This window comes from Homo sapiens, chromosome 8 (assembly GCF_000001405.40).
Source record: "Homo sapiens chromosome 8, GRCh38.p14 Primary Assembly".
Lineage (NCBI taxonomy): Eukaryota > Metazoa > Chordata > Mammalia > Primates > Hominidae > Homo > Homo sapiens.
In genome coordinates, this window is record NC_000008.11 from 75,441,750 (window position 1) to 75,464,414 (window position 22,665).

Here is a 22,665-nt window from a genome sequence, read left to right on the forward strand (position 1 = left end):
TTCATTTCTGTACTTATCCCATCACAAACTTGTAGCAAACAATCAGCGAACTGGCTTGGGTCCACAGACCACACATTGATTTTTGCACCTGGAAACATACACTAGAATATTTATAGCAGCACTGTTTGTAAAAGCAAAAATTGGAAACATCCCAAATGTCCATTTATAGTAGAATGGATAAATGCATTGTGGTATATTCACGTGATGATTTACTATAAAGTAGAGAAAATAAATAAAGCATTCTTGTGTCCATTAACATAGATGAATCTTATAAACACAATGTTCGGGAAAAAAATCAAGTCAGAGAAGAATGTATTACAGTAATATTTTATTTATATAAAGATTCAAAAGAGAAACAACTAAATAGTTAATTGTTACTAACCATAGATATGTGGTTAAAACTCAAAGAAATGCAAGAAGTTATTATCACAGGATAGAAATTACCCCAGAGAGTGGAGATTTAATCAAGTTAAGGTACCCAGGGCACATCGAAATTACTGTTCATTCTCTACTTTATAGCCTGGGTATCGGGTATATGGATATTTGTTTCATTGTTATTAAACTGAACACATATTAAATATTCTTTTGCATATATATTTTATAATAAAATTACTAAAATTATAAATAGGCAAGACTTTTAAAAAATATTTTTGAAATACATTTAAAAACATGTGAATGGCCCAGCGCAATGGCTCATGCCTATAATCTCAGCACTGTGGAAGGCCAAGGTGGGAGGATCACTGAACCCCAGGAAGTCAAGGCTGCAGTGAGTCATGATTGTGTCACTGTCTCCAGCTTGGGCAACAGAGAGAGACCTGGTCTCAATTAAAAATAAATTTAAAAATAATAAAATATGTTAAAAATAGGAAGACATTCCTAGATGGGAAGATAAATAATCACAATTATGCATTTGATTCAATTCCAATCAGAAAAATAATTAAAAATTAATACCCATAAATATTTCCTAAAGCCTTCAGGAGATGGGGATCATTATTTTATATTGAGTTTGAATATAGAAATTTGATCATGACAATATAAAAACCTGGTTTTTAAGGTGTTCAGGGATAAAAATAAAATAAAATGCCTATATTCTGTGAGTCTGCCAGAACAACTATAGAACAAGTAATGATCAGATGACCATGACTGGAAAGCATGACAGAGCACAGGAATGCTCAATCTCACACTCTACTATGTATTGCCTTCGTGATCTGAATGTTTGCATCTCCCCAAAATTCATGTGCTGAAATCTTAATTCTCAAGATGATGGTATTAGGAGGGTGGGGCCTTTAGGAGGTGATTAAGTCCTGAGGGCTCTGCCTTCGAGAATGGGATTAGTTCCTTTATAACAGAGGCCCTAGAAATCTAGCTAGTCTCTTCTACCATGTGAGGGAACAGGAGAAGCAGCCATTATGAACCTAGACTGGGCCTTCACCAGACACCAAATCTGCTGGTACTTTGATCTTGGACTTCCCAGCCTCCAGAACTGTGAGAAATAAATTCCTATTATTTATAAGCAACCTAATTTATGGTATTTTGTTATACCAGCCTGAAGGAACTAAGACACTTAACTATTTTAATCAAATCACTTAACTGCATTATCCAGTTTTCCAGTCTCTAAAATGAGAATAACATTAGTATTAATAACTTCTGAATTATTGCAATAATTATATGACAAAATACATATTAAAAGGATAACAAGTTATACGTTGGTAGTCAAAAATTATTTATTTTAGCCTCATAATGAAGAATTCTATAAAATTTAAAGTATTCGATGTTTTACTTTGTTTTCATTTTGAGATGAGAGTCTCACTATGTTGCCCAGGCTGGTTTTGAACTCCTGGGCTCAAATAATTCTTCCACCTTAGTCACCAGAGTGGTGGGGATTACAGGCATGTGCTCTGGGTCCAGTGTATTTGCTGGTTTACTTATGAAAAGTAAGAACATGTGATATATATGGCATGTGATTTTTTTCACCTATCTATATTGTGTACATTCTTCTATGTCAATCTTTTTTGTAGTTGTAATAAATCAGTAAGTTGTAATTCATTTTATGTTTATCATTTGACCAAATAAAATTTAAAAAGTCATCCCCCTCTCCATAGTACTCAAAAAGTTGGGAACTGTAAGTATAAATAAATAAGGGTGACTTGTCAAACTAGATATTAATTAAACTCTAAAGCTATAATAATTAAAGCTCTATGATACTGGTTTGAGAAATGAAGAATAGAGCAATGAAACAACATAAAAGCTCTGAAAGAAAACCTAGGGCAGCCAGAGAGAAAGGTCGGGTTACCCTCAAAGGGAAGCCCATCAGACTAACAGCAGATCTCTCAGCAGAAACCCTACAAGCCAGAAGAGAGTGGGGGCCAATATTCAACATTCTTAAAGAAAAGAATTTTCAACCCAGAATTTCATATCCAGCCAAACTAAGCTTCATAAGTGAAGGAGAAATAAAATCCTTTACAGACAAGCAAATGCTGAGAGATTTTGTCACCACCAAGCCTGCCCTAAAAGAGCTCCTGAAGGAAGCGCTAAACATGGAAAGGAACAACCGGTACCAGCCGCTGCAAAATCATGCCAAAATGTAAAGACCATTGAGACTAGGAAGAAACTGCATCAACTAACCAGCAAAATAACCAGCTAACATCATAATGACAGGATCAAATTCACACATAACAATATTAACTTTAAATGTAAATGGACTAAATTCTCCAATTAAAAGACACAGACTGGCAAGTTGGATAAAGAGTCAAGACCCATCAGTGTGCTGTATTCAGGAAACCCATCTCACGTGCAGAGACACACATAGGCTCAAAATAAAAGGATGGAGGAAGATCTACCAAGCAAATGGAAAACTAAAAAAGGCAGGGGTTGCAATCCTAGTCTCTGATAAAACAGACTTTAAACCAACAAAGATCAAAAGAGACAAAGAAGGCCATTACATAATGATAAAGGGATCAATTCAACAAGAAGAGCTAACTATCCTAAATATATATGCACCCAATACAGGAGCACCCAGATTCATAAAGCAAGTCCTGAGTGACCTACAAAGAGACTTAGACTCCCAAACATTAATAATGGGAGACTTTAACACCCCACTGTCAACATTAGACAGATCAACGAGACAGAAAGTCAACAAGGATACCCAGGAATTGAACTCAGCTCTGCACCAAGCGGACCTAATAGACATCTACAGAACTCTGCACCCCAAATCAACAGAATATACATTTTTTTCAGCACCACACCACACCTATTCCAAAACTGACCACATACTTGGAAGTAAAGCTCTCCTCAGCAAATGTGAAAGAACAGAAATTATAACAAACTATCTCTCAGACCACAGTGCAATCAAACTAGAACTCAGGATTAAGAATCTCACTCAAAGCGGCTCAACTACATGGAAACTGAACAACCTGCTCCTGAATGACTACTGGGTACATAACGAAATGAAGGCAGAAATAAAGATGTTCTTTGAAACCAACGAGAACAAAGACACAACATACCAGAATCTCTGGGACGCATTCAAAGCAGTGTGTAGAGGGAAATTTATAGCACTAAATGCCCACAAGAGAAAGCAGGAAAGATCCAAAATTGACACCCTAACATCACAATTAAAAGAACTAGAAAAGCAAGAGCAAACACATTCAAAAGCTAGCAGAAGGCAAGAAATAACTAAAATCAGAGCAGAACTGAAGGAAATAGAGACACAAAAAACCCTTCAAAAAATCAATGAATCCAGGAGCTGGTTTTTTGAAAGGATCAACAAAATTGATAGACCGCTAGCAAGACTAATAAAGAAAAAAAGAGAGAAGAATCAAATAGACACAATAAAAAATGATAAAGGGGATATCACCACTGATCCCACAGAAATACAAACTACCATCAGAGAATACTACAAACACCTCTACGCAAATAAACTAGAAAATCGAGAAGAAATGGATACATTCCTCGACACATACACTCTCCCAAGACTAAACCAGGAAGAAGTTGAATCTCTGAATAGACCAATAACAGGAGCTGAAATTGTGGCAATAATCAATAGTTTACCAACAAAAAAGAGTTCAGGACCAGATGGATTCACAGCCGAATTCTACCAGAGGTACAAGGAGGAACTGGTACCATTCCTTCTGAAACAATTCCAATCAATAGAAAAAGAGGGAATCCTCCCTAACTCATTTTATGAGGCCAGCATCATTCTGATACCAAAGCCAGGCAGAGACACAACCAAAAAAGAGAATTTTAGACCAATATCCTTGATGAACATTGATGCAAAAATCCTCAATAAAATACTGGCAAACCGAATCCAGCAGCACATCAAAAAGCTTATCCACCATGATCAAGTGGGCTTCATCCCTGGGATGCAAGGCTGGTTCAATATACGCAAATCAATAAATGTAATCCAGCATATAAACAGAGCCAAAGACAAAAACCACATGATTATCTCAATAGATGCAGAAAAAGCCTTTGACAAAATTCAACAACCCTTCATGCTAAAAACTCTCAATAAATTAGGTATTGATGGGACGTATTTCAAAATAATAAGAGCTATCTATGACAAACCCACAGCCAATATCATACTGAATGGGCAAAAACTGGAAGCATTCCCTTTGAAAACTGGCACAAGACAGGGATGCCCTCTCTCACCGCTCCTATTCAACATAGTGTTGGAAGTTCTGGCCAGGGCAATCAGGCAGGAGAAGGAAATAAAGGGTATTCAATTAGGAAAAGAGGAAGTCAAATTGTCCCTGTTTGCAGACGACATGATTGTTTATCTAGAAAACCCCATCATCTCAGCCCAAAATCTCCTTAAGCTGATAAGCAACTTCAGCAAAGTCTCAGGATACAAAATCAATGTACAAAAATCACAAGCATTCTTATACACCAACAACAGACAAACAGAGAGCCAAATCATGAGTGAACTCCCATTCACAATTGCTTCAAAGAGAATAAAATACCTAGGAATCCAACTTACAAGGGATCTGAAGGACCTCTTCAAGGAGAACTACAAACCACTGCTCAAGGAAATAAAAGAGGATACAAACAAATGGAAGAACATTCCATACTCATGGGTAGGAAGAATCAATATCGTGAAAATGGCCATACTGCCCAAGGTAATTTACAGATTCAATGCCATCCCCATCAAGCTACCAATGACTTTCTTCACAGAATTGGAAAAAACTACTTTAAAGTTCATATGGAACCAAAAAAGAGCCCGCATCGCCAAGCCAATCCTAAGCCAAAAGAACAAAGCTGGAGGCATCACACTACCTGACTTCAAAGTATACTACAAGGCTACAGTAACCAAAACAGCATGGTACTGGTACCAAAACAGAGATATAGATCAATGGAACAGAACAGAGCCCTCAGAAATAACGCCGCATACCTACAACTATCTGATCTTTGACAAACCTGAGAAAAACAAGCAATGGGGAAAGGATTCCCTATTTAATAAATGGTGCTGGGAAAACTGGCTAGCCATATGTAGAAAGCTGAAACTGGATCCCTTCCTTACACCTTATACAAAAATTAATTCAAGATGGATTAAAGATTTAAACGTTAGACCTAAAACCATAAAAACCCTAGAAGAAAACCTAGGCATTACCATTCAGGACATAGGCATGGGCAAGGACTTCATGTCCAAAACACCAAAAGCAATGGCAACAAAAGACAAAATTGACAAATGGGATCTAATTAAACTAAAGAGCTTCTGCACAGCAAAAGAAACTACCATCAGAGTGAACAGGCAACCTACAACATGGGAGAAAATTCTTGCAACCTACTCATCTGACAAAGGGCTAATATCCAGAATCTACAATGAACTCAAACAAATTTACAAGAAAAAAACAAACAACCCCATCAAAAAGTGGGTGAAGGACATGAACAGACACTTCTCAAAAGAATACATTTATACAGCCAAAAAACACATGAAAAAATGCTCATCATCACTGGTCATCAGAGAAATGCAAATCAAAACCACTATGAGATATCATCTCACACCAGTTAGAATGGCAATCATTAAAAAGTCAGGAAACAACAGGTGCTGGAGAGGATGTGGAGAAATAGGAACACTTTTACACTGTTGGTGGGACTGTAAACTAGTTCAACCATTGTGGAAGTCAGTGTGGCGATTCCTCAGGGATCTAGAACTAGAAATACCATTTGACCCAGCCATCCCATTACTGGGTATATACCCAAAGGACTATAAATCATGCTGCTATAAAGACACATGCACACGTATGTTTATTGCGGCATTATTCACAATAGCAAAGACTTGGAACCAACCCAAATGTCCAACAATGATAGACTGGATTAAGAAAATGTGGCACATATACACCATGGAATACTATGCAGCCATAAAAAATGATGAGTTCATATCCTTTGTAGGGACATGGATGAAATTGGAAATCATCATTCTCAGTAAACTATCGCAAGAACAAAAAACCAAACACCGTATATTCTCACTCATAGGTGGGAATTGAACAGTGAGATCACCTGGACACATGAAGGGGAATACCACACTCTGGGGACTGTGGTGGGGTGGGGGGAGGGGGGAGGGATATCATTGGGAGATATACCTAAGGCTAGATGACGAGTTGGTGCAGCGCACCAGCATGGCACATGTATACATATGTAACTAACCTGCACAATGTGCACATGTACCCTAAAACTTAAAGTATAAAAAAAAAAAAAAAAAAGTGTCAGACATGATACAAGATGATTTAAATAAAAGACCTCTTTAAAAAAAAAAAAAAACAAATACCTTAAAAAAAAAAAGAAAACCTAATATTTATACGTTTCTAATATAAGATTATATGATGTAAGTATAATATGTGCTTATAATATGTTATTGTAATATGTATAAGGGGGAAACTGATAAGTACTGCTGGATACTGTTATGAATATTCATTGGGAATGAAAAATTATAAGTGAAATATTCAGAAAATTTTTAAAAAACACCTAAAAGGACAACTATCTATCTGATCTTGGGATAAGGAAAATTTTCCAAATATAAAAGCAAAGTAAGAAATTATAAAAGGAAGTAATGACAGATTTGATGAAAGTTAAACATTTAAAAAATACATAGGACTATATCAGAATTATACAAATCAAGCAACCTGTTGACATTATTTTCTATATTACAAATGTAGATTTAGCTCCCTAAAATGCAAAGGACTTTGTGAATTAAGAAGAAAATTTCTCAAACCTCATTAAAAATGACAAAGAAAATCAAATAGCATAATTTCACAAAAACTGAGATTTGGGGGGGTATAGCAGTTAGAATGAAGATCATGTTGCTATAATTAAAGGGCCCCAAAAAGTTGTTTAAATAAAATAGAAGTTTCTTTCTCATGTAACAACACCAAAGTCCCTGGTCTAGGTTGGATGGTATTTGTATTTCACAAGGTTATTTGGGGATTCAGACTGCTTCTATCTTTCTGCTTTGCTATCTCCTAGGGCAGCCATTGGCAATATTTTTTTGTAAAGAGACAGATTATAAATACTGTAGAATCTGGGGTCTCATATGGTTTCTGTTGCAGTTACTCTATTCTGCAATTATAGAATTAAAGCAGCTATAAACAACACATAAACAAATGGTTATACCTATCTTCCTATAAAATTTTGTAAATTTGGTTTAATTAACTAAAAAAACAAATTTTTGGTGTACTACATGATGTCTTGATATATGCATACACTGTAGAATGACTAGGTCAAGCTACTTCATATATGCATTATCTCAGTAATATATATATATTTTTTTCTTTTTTTTTTTTTTTGAGACGGAGTCTCACTCTGTCGCCCAGGCTGTAGTGCAGTGGGGCGATCTCGGCTCACTGCAAGCTCCGCCTCCAGGGTTCACGCCATTCTCCTGCCTCAGCCTCCCTTGTAGCTGGGACTACAGGCTCCCGCCACCACGCCAGGCTAATTTTTTTGTATTTTTAGTAGAGACGGGGTTTCACCGTGTTAGCCCGGATGGTCTCGATCTCCTGACCTCGTGATCCGCCCCCCTTGGCCTCCCAAAGTGCTGGGATTACAGGCATGAGCCACCGCGCCCGGCCTATCTCAATAATATTTTTTGTTGTGAGATTTATGATACTGGTTTGAGAAATGAAGAATAGTTAAAATCTACTTAAAATCTATTCTCAGCAATTTTTAAGAGTACAACATATTGTTACTAACTATAGCCCCCCGATGTATGTATATTCTTCCTGTGTAACTAAAATTTTGTGTCCTTTGACAACAAATATCTCCCCAATCCTTTTATTCCCCACCACCTTAGCCTCTGGTAATCACCATTTTGCTGTCTGTTTCTGTGAGTTTGATATTGTTAGAGTCCACACAGAAGTGTGATCTGTGACAGATGTCTTTCTGTGCCTGGGTGATTTCACTTAACACAATGTCCTCCAGGTTCACCCATGTTGTTGGAAATGATAAAATTTTAATTTTTAAGGCCGAATAATATTCAATTGTGTATGTATTCGACATTTTCTTTATCTGCTCATTGATTGATGGACACTTAGGTTAATTACATGTCTTGGCTATTGTGAATAGTGCTGCAATGAATATGGGTGTGTTTTGGAGGGATCTCATATATTTGATCCAATTCCAATCAGAAAAATAATAAAACAAAAATCAAATATTAATAGCCTTAAGTATTCCTAAGGCCTGCAACATACTGATTTCATATTCTTTGAATAGATACACGGTAGTCAGATTGCTGGATCATATGGTAGTTCTATTTTTAATTTTTTGAGGAAACTCCATACTGTTTTACCTAATGGCTATACTAATTTACATTCTCACCAACTGTGTATAAGGGTTCTTTTTTCTCCACATTGTCTTTAACACTAGTGGTCTTTCATCTTGATATTGATAATAGCCAACTGACAAGTGTAAGGGGATATCTCACTGTGGTTTTAATTTGCATTTCCCTGATGATTAGTGCCACAATTTGAGTGTGTCCCCCAAAGTTCATGTGTTGGACACTTAATCTGCAATGCAACAAGTGTTGAGAAATGGGAACTTTTAGAGGCGTTTAAGTCCTGAGGGCTCTGTCCTCATAACTGAATTAATGTTACTATCATGGGAGTGGGTCATTATCTCTAGAGTGGGTTTGTTAGAAAGGTGAGTTCAGAGTTCTCTCGCTGTGTGTCTTGTGTGCTTTCTTGTCTTTCCACCCTCCGCCATGGGATGATGCAGCAAAAGCCCTTCACCAGATGCCAGCATCTTGATATTAGACTTTTCAGCCTCCAAAATTGTGAGAAATAACTTTCTTTATAAATTATCAAGTCTGTAGTATTCTGTTATGGCAACACAAAACAGACTGAGACAATTAGTAATGTTGAACATTTTTTCATATACTCCATTGGCCATGTGTATGCCTTTTTTTTTGAGAAATGTCTATTCTGGTCCTTCGCCCATTTTGGGGGGATTACTTGTTTTTGTTTTGTTTTGTTTTTTGTCTTTGCTATTGAGTTGTTTGAGTTCCTTACATATTTTGTTGTATAGCTTGCAAATATATTCTCCCATTCTGCAGGTTGTCCCTTTACTCTGTTGATTGTGTCCTTGGCTGTGCAGCGCTTTTTAGTCTGATATAATTCCATTTGTGTATTTTTGCTTTTGTTACCTGTGCTTTTATAGCCATATCCAAAAAAAAAAATTATTGCCCAGAGAAATGTCATGGAGCTTTTCCCCTATGTTTTCTTCTGGTAGTTTTATAGTTTCAGGTCTTACATTTAAGTCTTTAATCCATGTTGAGTTGATTTTTGTAAATGGTATGAGATGAAGGTTAAGTTTCATTCTTCTGCATGTGAACATTCAGTTTTCCCCAGCACCATTTATTGAAGAGACTGCCCTTTTCCCATTTTGTGTTCTTGGCATCTTTAATGAAAATCAATTGATCCTAAGTGTATGCATTTATTTCTGGACTCTTTATTCTGTCCCATTGGTCTATGTGCTTATTTTTATGCCAGCACCATGATGTTTTGATTACTAGAGCTTTGTAGTAGATTTTAAAATCAAGTAGTGTGATGCCTCCAGCTTTGTTGTTTGTCCCTTAAAACTATTTACAAGACAGACAATTTGGTAGTTTTATGGCTTTTGCTCTAGGGCCTTATCTTGTTCTGTTAGGTTGGAGCCTAATCACAGGCACACCTGTACTCCAGCTTCCAGGAAGGAGTGAGCATGGAAGATTTCATGCACAATGTCTGAAGGCCCAGGCACCTAAGTAGCAAACATTACTTCTGATCCCATTCCATTGGTGGAAACTTAGTTCCATGGCTTCACTGAGCTGCAAGCATGGCTGGGAATATGATCTTCACTTCCAAAGTGCCCAATTACAAATCTTTTGCTGTGGAAGGAGGGAGATCATATGTTAGGGAACTACTGGATGTCTTTGCCAAACTGGTATTCAACAAATTCAAAATAACTTTACAATTTTATAATAAATAATATAAATAAATATTTCTAAAGAACAAAAGTTATAATATTCATTGTTGGTATTATACCATTTCTAGTGGTTACAGTAGTAATATTTATAATAAACGATTGTTACAGTATTAGTATGTGTCCAACACCACAGTACATGATTTATAGACTATTTTATTCCTAACACAACCTCAAGGTTTGTACACATTTATTGTCTTCACTTTCCAAATAAGTATCTTTTTAATGAGTTTCAAGACTAATGTGGCTGGGCACGTTGGCTCACGCCTGTAATCACAGCACTTTGGGAGCCCGAAGCGGGGGGATCATGAGGTCAGGAAATCGAGACCATCCTGGCTAACACGGCGAAACCCCGTCTCTACTAAAAATACAAAAAATTAGCCGGGCATGGTGGCGGGCGCCTGTAGTCCCAGCTACTTGGGAGGCTGAGGCAGGGAAATGGCGTGAACCCGGGAGGCGGAGCTTGCAGTGAGACGAGATCGTGCCACTGCACTCCAGCCTGGGCAACAGAGTGAGACTCCGTCTCAAAAAAAAAAAAGAAAAGAAAAAGACTAATGTATGCAATTAGTAACTGTTTGAGCCATGATTCCACATCAGGCAGTCCTATTTTAAAGCCTATGCTCTTCACTATTAGATAATCAAAATATGAACACTTTTATGAAGAGTGAATATGTTTGCTTTTCCACTTGAATGAGAGATTATTGAAGGCACTCTCTATTATTAATTTTGGTTCTTGAGCACATGGCCTGGTCTATATTAGGTAGATTTAGAATAAATTAATGAGGAAATGAATGATTATGTAAATTTAAAAAGGTTAAGTGATTGCTAAAGTTCACCTAGAGAATAGCAATCATGTCAGGCCTTCTTAACTTTAGTTTCCTATTTTCTGTGACAGGCTGTTCTAATATCTGTAACCAGACTCCTTGTTTCAGGACAGTAGGCATATGCCTGTGCTGTTCCTTGCCAGAAGCAGAATGGCACCAAGACTAATTACACTTATTTGAGCCTCCTGGTGAGAGGTGAAGCCAGCTGGACTTCCTGGGTGGAGTGGGGACTTGGAGAACTTTTCTGTCTAGCAAGAGGTTTGTAAAATGCACCAATCAGTGCTCTGTAAAAACGCACCAGTCAGTGCTCTGTAGCTAGCTAGAGGTTTGTAAAATGCACCAATCAGTGCTCTGTAAAAACACACCAATCAGTGCTCTGTAGCTAGCTAGAGGTTTGTAAAATGGAACGATCAGCACTCTGTTAAATGGACCAATCAGCAGGACATGGGTGGGGACAAATAAGGGAATAAAAGCTGGCCACCCCCCTGCCCCCCCGCCCCGTAGCCAGCAGTGGCAACCTGCTAGGGTTCCTTTCCATGCTGTGGAAGCTTTGTTATTTTCCTCTTCACAATAAATCTTGCTGCTACTCAATCTTTGGGTCCATGCCATCTTTAAGAGCTGTAACACTCACTGCAAAGGTCTGCAGCTCCATTCTTGAAGTCAGTCAGACCACAAACCCATCAGAAGGAACCAACTCTGGACACACTGGGACTAAGACCTTGATCTGTCTTCTTCGTGAGCAAGTTATTTCATATCTCTGATCCTAATGTTTTTTGCTTTGTTTTGTAAAATAACTAAAAATAATATATATCACACAAGGTTGGTGTAATGGACTGAATGTTCCTGTCCTTCCCAAATTCATATGTTAAAATCCTTCCCAAATTTATATGTTAAAGTCCCAATGTGATGGTATTTGGAGATGGGGCCTTTGGGAGGTAATTAGGATTAGAATAGGTGACACAGTGGGGCTCTCATCATGAGATTAATTGCTTTATAAGAAGAAGAAATTTCTCTCTCTCTCTCTCTCTCTCTCTCTCCCTCCCTCCCTCTCTTCCTTTCTCCCTCCCTCCCTCCCTCTCTTCCTTTCTCCCTCTCTCCCTCTCCTCCTCTCCCCCACTCCACATACAGAGAAAAGGCCCTGTGAGGACACAGCAAGAAGGCAACTATCAGCAAGCCAGGAAGAAGGCCCTCACCAGAACTCAATTCTGCTAGCACCCTGATTTTGGACTTACAGTCTCAAGAACCGAGAGAAATAAAATTCTGTTGTTTAAACCATCCAGTCTATAGTACTTTGTTACAGCAAACTGAGCTAATTAAGATAGGTGATACTGAGGGTTAAATGAGATAAGTATAAAATGTTTAGTACATTTCCCAGTACATCGTAAAACCTCAGTACATGCAGTTCTTACTATCCTGGGCATTGAATGGTGTGTCTGGTACTTGGTACCCACTAATAGTAAGCACACAGTAGTCCACTTGTTGCCTTTCTATGTCATCTCCAACTGTTTACCACTTCCTTGCTCTCCAACCACATTGGCCTACCTGAAGTTTCCAGAAGACACAGAGCTTGTTGCTGTGTCAGGCTTCTACCCGCTGTGCTTGCCACAGAAGGCCTCTTCTCCCTATTTGCTCAGGTCTCTTAAGTGTCATTCTCTTAGAGTGGCCTTCTTAATTAGCCTACCCAAAATAACCCTAATCACTCTATCACCTCATCCTTCTTCATTTCTCTTCATTAAGCAGTCACTGACATTTCGATTAATATATTTAGTTATTTTTGTGGTATCCCTGTTGCTTACCAGAATAAGGTCCATGAGGGCAGGGAATATCCCCAGTGCTGAGAAGAGTACCTAGCCTATGGTATCATTAAACCTATTTTTGAGTGATTGAATAAAAGGAGTTTTATAAGGAAATGCTTCTAGTAAGAAACACACTATATAGAAACACACGTATATATGTTAGCATTTTGGAAGGAATGCTTGCCATTCATATATAAAAATTAAGATAAAGGTTTTTAGTCTCTCATTGTCCTCACATCATCCCTTTTGTGTAAATAATACATTCATTAAATGTATTATTCTATCTCATCAAAAATCAAACAAATAACTCATCTTCCAAATTAAGTATATCAACTCTCAAAATGATAAAACATTGATTTAAGTTTTTGGAGACCGACTTCCTAACAAATTAGTACTAGATTATCATAGTCTTTTTGTAAAAACAAAATGTAGTTCCTGAAACATACAATTTTTGAAACTTTTTATAAATTTAAGCATTATATTCCATATACCTCTTCCAACTGTCTTTATCTAGAAAGATTGTATTTGTTTTTATTTAATCATATTGCTTTTAGGCAGATAGGAAGTGATTAATAATTAAAAATTAATTTCCATAAAGTGTTGGTATCTTTAGTTACACACAGGCCACAATGATAATCAATGTGGTGAGTAATGTTTAGGTACTGTGCTCCAGAGAACAATTCAATCAATTGCCCCAACCTGGTGTTTCCTGTTATGCATGAACTTGGGGAACTATAATTTTCTGAATAATTCAACTTAAAGCAAAATGAAATGTGTGAGTAATTAAGAAAATGTTCTTCTGCTAATATTTATTCTGATAAATCATTTCAGTTCTGTTTGATTTTGCAGACACTCCATAATATCATTGAATTAGTAAAATATAATAACTCTTAAAAAGCTCATAGAAGTGATTATTGCCTCTATATTTTCCAGTAAGATGTTAATTTTTTTAAATAACCGTAATGTACTGTGAATATAATTTCTTCTACAAGTTACTTTTGCTGCTTCTAAAATACTAGTGGTAGCAGTTTGCATACTTTCTGTATAAAGACTGATTTGATGTCATCTCTGAATCACAAAAAAAAGTCAAACCAAAACGGAAAGGTCTTAATTTAATTAACTAATAGAATCATTACTAATTCTATAGAATTAGATATTTTAAATCAGAGCTAGCTGCAACAAGTTATACGAGCTTTGCCATTTTATGAACATAATTTGACTAAGCGGTTATGAGATCTGTAAAGAACACTTCTTATCTGAGTATAGCTGGGGACGTCTTTGTTCAGAAGTACACAGAATTTTATAAACCTGTCCAGAGCTTCATATATATCCAGTAAGGCTCATTTTCTACATATTTGAGATCTTATTCTCTGTATAAGATCTTTACAGGGTAGTGCAAAATTCGACATAATATTTATATTATGAATGAAGAAACAAACAGAAAAGAAGAGAATGAATCTCAAATTCATTGAGTACCTACTAAGAATGAAAACAAAAACATTTGAAAGTGGTATATGGCCTGAGATGTAACACAGTTTGAGAAGAAATTTAGGGAATAGTATAAGCATTTGCTGATTTGTACACTTGAAATATTGTTTCAAAAAATCCCTTTTTTATCTTCCTGAGAGCATGGTCCTCTGAAGAGTATAACTTTTCCTGTGTTATTGGATCACTTAGTTTTCATTTCAAGGTTAAATTTGATGTTTTATCTTGTTTGGGCCATTTTTAAACCTGATTTATTTTATTTTTAAATAGAACATAAAGCATTGACTCAAATATTTCCTTAGAAAGGGTGAGAATGATAGTCTTTCCAGGTTGGTAACCAAAATCTATTCCTAATCTTCAGAAGATGGTAAAATTAACATTCTATATAAAAGTCCCATAGAATAAAGAATATTTTATTTATTTAATTTATTTTAATTAATTAATTTTTATTATTTTGTTTTGAGACAGAGTCTCACTCTATTGCCTAGGCTGGAGTGCAGTGGCATGATCATAACTCACTGCAGCCTCAACTGCCTGGATTTAAGCGATTCCCCCACTTCAGGCTCCTGAGTAGCTGGGACCCCAGACGTGTGCCACCATGCCCAAAAAAATAAAAAAAAAATTATTTGTAGAGATGAGGTCTCACTATATTGCCCAGGCTGGTCTTGAACTCCTCAGCTACAGCAATCCTTCTGCCTCAGCTTCCCAAAGTACTAAGATAAGGTGTGAGCACCTGGCCTAAGAATATTTTAACTAGTTAATTTGGTTAAATATTTATAATAGTCTCTAATATATCCAGAACAGATCCATTGGCTAATGAATTGATTCAGTCATTTACCAAGCATCTGAAGCATTCAGAACAGATCCTCAGGCTCTTTATTATAGCTGTAGACTTTAATCCAGTTGTAAAGAGGACCCACATACATCAGTTTTAAAAACAAGGAACCACACCTCTTACATACCACATAATCTAAAAGAAAGTGATCAGATGAAGATTTGTATTAATGCTCTGGCACCATGTTCCTTATTTGACATAATCAGGTGGTTCCTTGACTTGTCAGGTGGCTTTATATGATCCTTAAGATAGAAGGGAGATTGGTCACTGTGGCTATACACCTTATGCCTATTCCTCTATACACCTCTGAGATAAATATTTTTAACACTGTTATTTAACTAAACTGAACGTGTCCAGGATGAGACAGCAAGTAACATGGTATCATAATTAAAACCTGAGTCTATGTGACTCTAATGACATTCCCCTAGATTTTACTAAGGATTATTTGAGTAGAGAGGTAGTATCTTAGAGAGGTTGGAAATTCCTTGGAGCCTGACATGCTGCAGTGAATCTAATAGGTGGATCTTCTGTTGTTTGCTATAGAGAATACTTCTGAAAGGCATGTGGAATATCTAGGGCAGGCATCAGGGGCGGTGGGGGTGGTGGCTGCTCAGGTCTAGCTCTGCATAAAGATATTTTTCTCATAAGAGCATTGCCATAGAGTAAGACATTTACTGTAGACAGGGATGCAGGAATGTATGTTAATTACATATAATATTATGTGTGCGTGTGTGTGTGTATGTTTATATTGTGAGGAGTGAGATGATGGTCCTTTGCAGTAGAGAACAAAAAAGAAAGATACCAATTTTGAGGAAAATGTAATGAGTTATTCTGTTTTTTATATATATTTAATTTTTTGTAGAGGCAAAGTCTCACTATATTGCCCAGGCTGGTCTCAAACTACTGGGTCCAAGAGATCCTTTCACTTCCAAAGTGCTTGGATTACAGAGTGAGCCACCATGCCAAACTTCAGTTATGTCTTAAGACTAGCCTGCTCACTGGTAGGTGGTTAGGTTTAGATATGTACATTTAGGAGGTAATAATAAAAGTAGCTGCTCCTATTGTACATACAATCACTGAATGAATGTATATAGAGATAAGGAAATAGATAAGAGAGGGTTAAATACCCCGTCTTGGATTAAGAATAAGAGGAAAATGTGAAACCCACTAAGGAGATGAGAAAGGAAAAAAATCAGCAGAAAGAAGACTACTGTTGGTTTATGTTTAATGGTCTAACTTTTTTTTTTTTTTTTTTTTTTACTTCTAAGGAAGAATAGTTGTCAAAATGAGGGAAACTCTAAAGATAAAGACACACTCAGACTGATTTTCAAAGCTTCATTTTCCCAAATGATACAGGGGTCAAATTTTCATAATATCTACTCAGACAACAACAATAACAAATAAACAAAAACTGTTTTGTCTTTGAGCATGAAAAAACGTAAAAATGTTCCTACTATCCCCTAAGTTTCTTGAAGGCAGGAATTGTATCTCCTTAATGTCTTTGTTTCCTAAATGCCTGGTACATGTGAATTGAATTTACGCCTTCATGGAAAGAAGCAATAACCTCCACTTACAGGTTGGCATTCAGGGGCATAGTTCAGGTTGCGTCAACATCATAACTGGGTCAAAGTTAAGAATACAGTTTTCATCTCATGTGTGTTTTTAAATCAAAAGTGAAAACTAAAGAGAATAATGACAATCTTTCTTCTATTTTATTTTTCTAATGACTTATATTTTAACTGCTATTTAATGGATATGATATTAATGAAAACATTCTGATTATCCTTAATAATGTACATTTTTAAAGGTCAGTAATGGTCTTTATCTCAGGCAATAAAGATTATGAAACAAACTACTGTAATTATATTCAAACTAGAATATGAAATGTTAGGCATTTTACAATTTTTCCCACTATTTTTTATTTGCTTACAGTGACTACATTCATTCAACAAATGTCTGTCTATCTAGCTATTTCACCCTTCAGGCAGAGTGGGATTATATAAAGGAAGGTAATTCCTATTCCGTAGTAGGAAGGAACTCTCTACTAGCTAGGTAAATAACACTTATATAAAATTTAATAGAATGTTAGCTAAATAATAACACCAAATGTATCTCAGCAGTATATGACTGCATTCTTAGTCAGTGTAATATTCATAAAGTGTCATGAGTTCTTAGGAAAGAAAATCACTGTGGCCTATCAAAATTATGAAGCCTAATGTACATGCAGAATTTTAAACTTGTGCCTAAATTCTTCTCATTATGTAGCAAAAACTGATTTCTCTGTGCTATACAAATAAACCTACAAAATGTGATCAGGAAATCAATAAGAGAATGTAAAAAATAGTTCATTTATTGAGTGATAGGATTCTGGATCATAAAAGATTTATTCTAGTCTTGATGTTATAAGTCTTGAGTTCATACTTGGCTTGTGTAGTAGTGTTTATAAATGACCTGTATAGTTTGACTTCATTTAGAAAAGACAAGTGAACTCTGCTATATCCTCATGTGAAACCCAGGAGCTAATCTGTATACATCTTCATTCTAGAAGTGTTCATTCATTTATGCATTTAGTCATGTACACATTTATCCTTACTTATCCATTGATGTGATTCAGACCCAGATGATCTGGTGGCAGCATGGACAGGCACTTGTCTTCAGAATGCTAGCCACCTAGAAAAGCCCTCCAGGACTCTACTCAGAGTCCAAAAGAGTTGTTTTTCAAGTTACATAGTTGTGTCTTAAAGTAATTCACATACAAATGGAAAATCATACACCATGGAATTACATATTAAATCATTTTTCCTTAGTTATATTTTATATTTTTTAGAGTGATCATAGTTTTCCATGAGAATTTGCCTAGTTGTGAGGCCTTGTAGATACTAATTAACTCATGCTGTATGATGATTCTGTATAAAGAAAGCTTAAATCAATACGTACGTTCTGAAGAAAAAAAAAAATCTCTTTGCAGTACACAAAGAGAAAAAAACAAACCTAAAAAGAGTTCCTGAAAATGACTAGTAACTAAGTGGTTTGAAAGAGTTAATATTGTTTCCTACAGGCCTGATTAATAAAGACATTACCTATCCCTATATTGAAAAAGTGGACATGGTTTCTAGTTCTGTTTCAGGTTGATTTATGTGGGGAGAGTGTGATGACATTTATGTACTAAATACTTAGTGCTTTTAATTCAGTTTACATTTAATCTATAAATGCAAACCATGTTAAAGGATGCTTGACAAAAATAAACTTGAAAGCCAGCATTAACCTTCCAAACCAGCTGAAGGTGCTTAAAAGACAATAAGGGTAAAATTTCATTATACAGACTTCAAGTGGGTTTTTAAAAAATCTATAGACTTTCCAACTAAAATGATGAATGCTGTTCTGATTCTAATTGACAAGTGTTATATATAAAAGAGTTCTTGCCTTCATTCTTATCAAAACTGTGGGGATTTCCAATGATAGGACAATATTATGTGGGTGGAAACTTCTCAGAAGAATAGAGAACTTATCAGTATTTACTTAGGTTCTATTACATTCAGAGCCATAAAAGAAACTACACTCATAAATTTATAGACAGTCAAGGATATTGCCTCTTCCCCAAAGAGGCTAGATATTAAAGGAGTGGAGCGAATGAGCTCAAATCATGAAGTGGTTTCAATATTGGAAGAGTTTTCCCCCTTCATATTTCAACTTGTAACTAATATGTTATGAAGAATTGCTGGCTAGCTAACTTTGAGGGTTTGGCAGAAGAAAACAGTCTTCACCACTTTTTCTTACAAATGTTCTTTTTCTTCTACAATTAGTACTTAATGATAATATCGACCCTTTAATGAGTTACTGTAGATTAATGATTACCACACTTGTTCAAATATATTTAGGATTCCAACTTTGCAGATAAAGAAAGAGGTTTATAGAGGTTAAGAATCTTGCCCAAAATCACACAGCAGGGACAAGATGTAAGCCTGTTTTTTTCTTTGCTTCCTATTTCTGCTGTCACAAATTACCACGAACTGAGTGTTGTGAACAACACAAATCTATTATTTTACAGCTCGAGGTCAGAAGTACAAAAGGGGTTTTACTGGGCTAAAATCAAGGTGTCAACAGGGGTGCATTCCTCTGAAGAAGCCAGGAAAATCTTTTTCCTTCCCTTTTTTAGCTTCCAGGGTCTTCCTCCATTTTTTGGCTCCATTCCTTGGCCCCTTCCGCCATCTTCCTTCTTCAAAGCCCACAATTTCATTACCCAACCTCAGCTTCTGCTATTACATCTCCTTTTCTGACCCTTCTTCCTCTCTTTTTCATCCTTTAAGGACCCTTGCGATTATATCAGACCCACTTAGATAATCCAGGACAATCTCCTCTATTTCAAAACCCTTAATCACATCTGCAAAGTCACTTTTGACATTTAAGGTAACATTCAGTTTCTAGGCATTAGGGCAACTGTGAGAGGCCATTATTCTGCCTACTACAAAAGCTAAAGATCTGGGTAAGTATAGTGCAGTTGTGTGCATACAGCAGTTCTCCTTTATCTGTGGGGGATATGTCCCAAGACCCCAAGTAGATGCCTGAAACCATGAATAGCACTGAACTCTGTATATATTGTTTTTTTCCTATACATACATACTTATCATAAAGTTTAATTTATAAATTAGGCATAGTAAAAGATTAACAACAATTGCTAATAATAAAACAGGACAATCACAACAATATACTGTAATAGAAGTCATGTGAATATGGTCTCTTTAAAAAAAAATAAATATATAAATATATAAATATAAATATATATATATATATATATATTTTTTTAGATGGAGTTTTGCTCTTGTTGCCCAGGCTGGAGTGCAGTGGTGCCATCTCAGCTCACTGCAACCTCCGCCTCCTGGGTTCAAGCAATTCTCCTGCCTCAGCCTCCCAAGTAGTTGGGATTACAGGCATGCACCACCATGGCTGTCTAATTTTGTATTTTTAGTAGAGATGGGGTTTCTCCATGTTGGTCAGGCTGGTCTCGAACTCCCAACTTCAGGTAATCTGCCTGCCTTGGACTCCCAAAGTGCAGGGATTACAGGTGTGAGCCACTGCGACAGGCCTAAAATATCTTACTGTACTTTATTCACCCTTCTTAGGCATATCCAAATTGTCAGTACTATTAACTCTTGCCCTTTGGGGCCATTATTAGGTAAAATAAGATCAACTGTCACAGTATCACAGTGATTGTGTTACTTGAACTGTGACAGTTGATCTGATGACCAAGATGGCTACTAAGTGACTAATGGCTGAATAGGGTGTACAGAGTGGATTCAGGACAAAGGAATGATTCACATCCAGAGCAGGATGACATGAAATGTCATCATGCTACTCAGAACAGTGACCATTTAGAACTTATACATTGTTTATTTTTAGAATTTTCAGTTTAATATTTTTAGACTACAGTTGACTGGTGTTAACTGCAACTGCAGAAAACGAAACCTTGGATAAGGGAAGACTGTTGTATTTTGATATTAATATGTCAATATAATTTAGTAGAGAAAAAATACAATCACAGAGATTAATGATCACTACAATGATTACGGTAGTGTAATATAATAGAAATAGCTTTGAATCTGGAAAAATTCTGGCTTCATCATTTACTAACTGTATAACATCAGATAAATATCTTAGTGTTGTCTCTTTAGAGGTGATGTGGTGGTGAGTTATAAGGAATGTTGTTCCTTCTCCTTCATTTTTAGAAAATAACAAAGATAGAGAAGGCAGACAATATAGTACATGTTGTACTTAGATGTTATAAGTAATGTCTAATAATAATTACATTTGCAAAAACTATTTTCTAAATATATTAAACATTTTGTGGGCCTTATTTTTATTTTACAAATAATATTCTGCTGCTCAATGTGCTCTTTTTGTTCCTCCTCTGATATTCAATGTCTGCTTGTTTTTTTGTTTTTTTTTTTTCTGTAATGCCTCTTAAATTTAGGAATCTGAATTAATTCATTAGCTTGATGATGGCTTTTTCTCATTCCATTTTAGGAACTTAATTTTTAGCATGTAATTTTCTGTATTGTTGTTTGCTGGTATAGGTGTACAACTAGTATTTTTTATGAAAAACAAATCCTGCATTAGCCTTTTAAAAATCATTTATAAAATAAATCCCAACCTCATATTATAGGAAAGTTATGATATAAAGTATCACCTCTGCCTCGTCATTCCCTCACTTTGATCCCATTCTCAGAGGGAACTCCTAACTGTTGGGTTTTAATTCTTTTTCTTTAGAATGTTACCTTATAATTCTTGATCACATGCTTGTCAACTTTTTAAACAATTGTTGACTCCTGATTTGAAAGGCTAGGATCTGGCCAATTTAATTACACCATCTTTCCTTGCCCCTCCTTTCAATATTTGACATTTATATTTTAAATTTTGTTCTTCTATTGTTTACTTTTACAACTGAAAATAATATGGGTAAGCATTCATTTTTTTTTTCAACAGAGTCTATACTCTTCACTTTCCAGATAAGGTATTAATTCTCCTACTCATTTCCTCAAGTTTTCCTTTCTTCAGCAGCTTAACTTTGGTCAGGTGTCAAGTTTGTTTATATTTACAGTTTTCCTATAACCACCTCCAACTATTCTTTTTGTGAATATGTTGATTTTTTTTTTTTTTTTTTTGAGACAGAATTTTGTTCTTGTTGCCCAGGCTGGAGTACAATGGCATGATCTTGGCTCACCACACTCTCCACCTCCTGGGTTCAAGTGATTCTCCTGCCTCAGCCTCCCGAGTAGCTGGGATTACAGGCATGTGCCATCATGCCCAGCTAATTTTGTATTTTTCATAGAGACGGGGTTTCTCCATGTTGGTCAGGCTGGTCTTGAATTCCCAACCTCAGGTGATCCACCTGCCTCAACCTCTGAAAGTGCTGGGATTACAGGTGTGAGCCACCGTGCCCGGACACATTGACTTTAAAGTTGGAAATGTATGAACAACATTGCCAAACCACAAATATTATTTGATGCTGAGTCACATAGTGTACTATGTTCTTTGAAGTAGTTTCACTCTCAGGAAACCTAGGGCACTCATGGGAACAAGTTCACCATGTGAAAATGGATTCTCTCTCTTTTTTTTTTAACTCAATTTTTTGAAATCATTTCAAATTTACATTTTCTTTAGATTTATATTTACTTAATATAATACCATTCCAAATTTACTTGTATTTGCTTTATTTGATTTTGAAAGTTTCATGCAGATTTGTTTTTATCCTGAAATATCAAATTGTCTTTCATTTTGTTTCCTG

The 22,665-nt window shown here is 36.0% G+C and overlaps 1 protein-coding gene across 8 annotated transcripts in view; it reads left to right on the top strand.

The window, feature by feature from the left end:
- Positions 1 to 22,665, top strand: part of HNF4G (hepatocyte nuclear factor 4 gamma) — a 159,186-nt gene that overhangs the window by 34,101 nt on the left and 102,420 nt on the right. The window contains exon 1 of one of the 8 annotated variants that reach the window (XM_047421739.1): positions 13,725 to 13,838. The exons of the other annotated variants lie outside the window; for them this stretch is intronic. The gene's annotated coding sequence lies outside the window, so the exon portion shown is untranslated. Of the gene's footprint in view, positions 1 to 13,724; positions 13,839 to 22,665 lie in introns of those variants that run through there. 8 annotated transcript variants of the gene reach the window in all.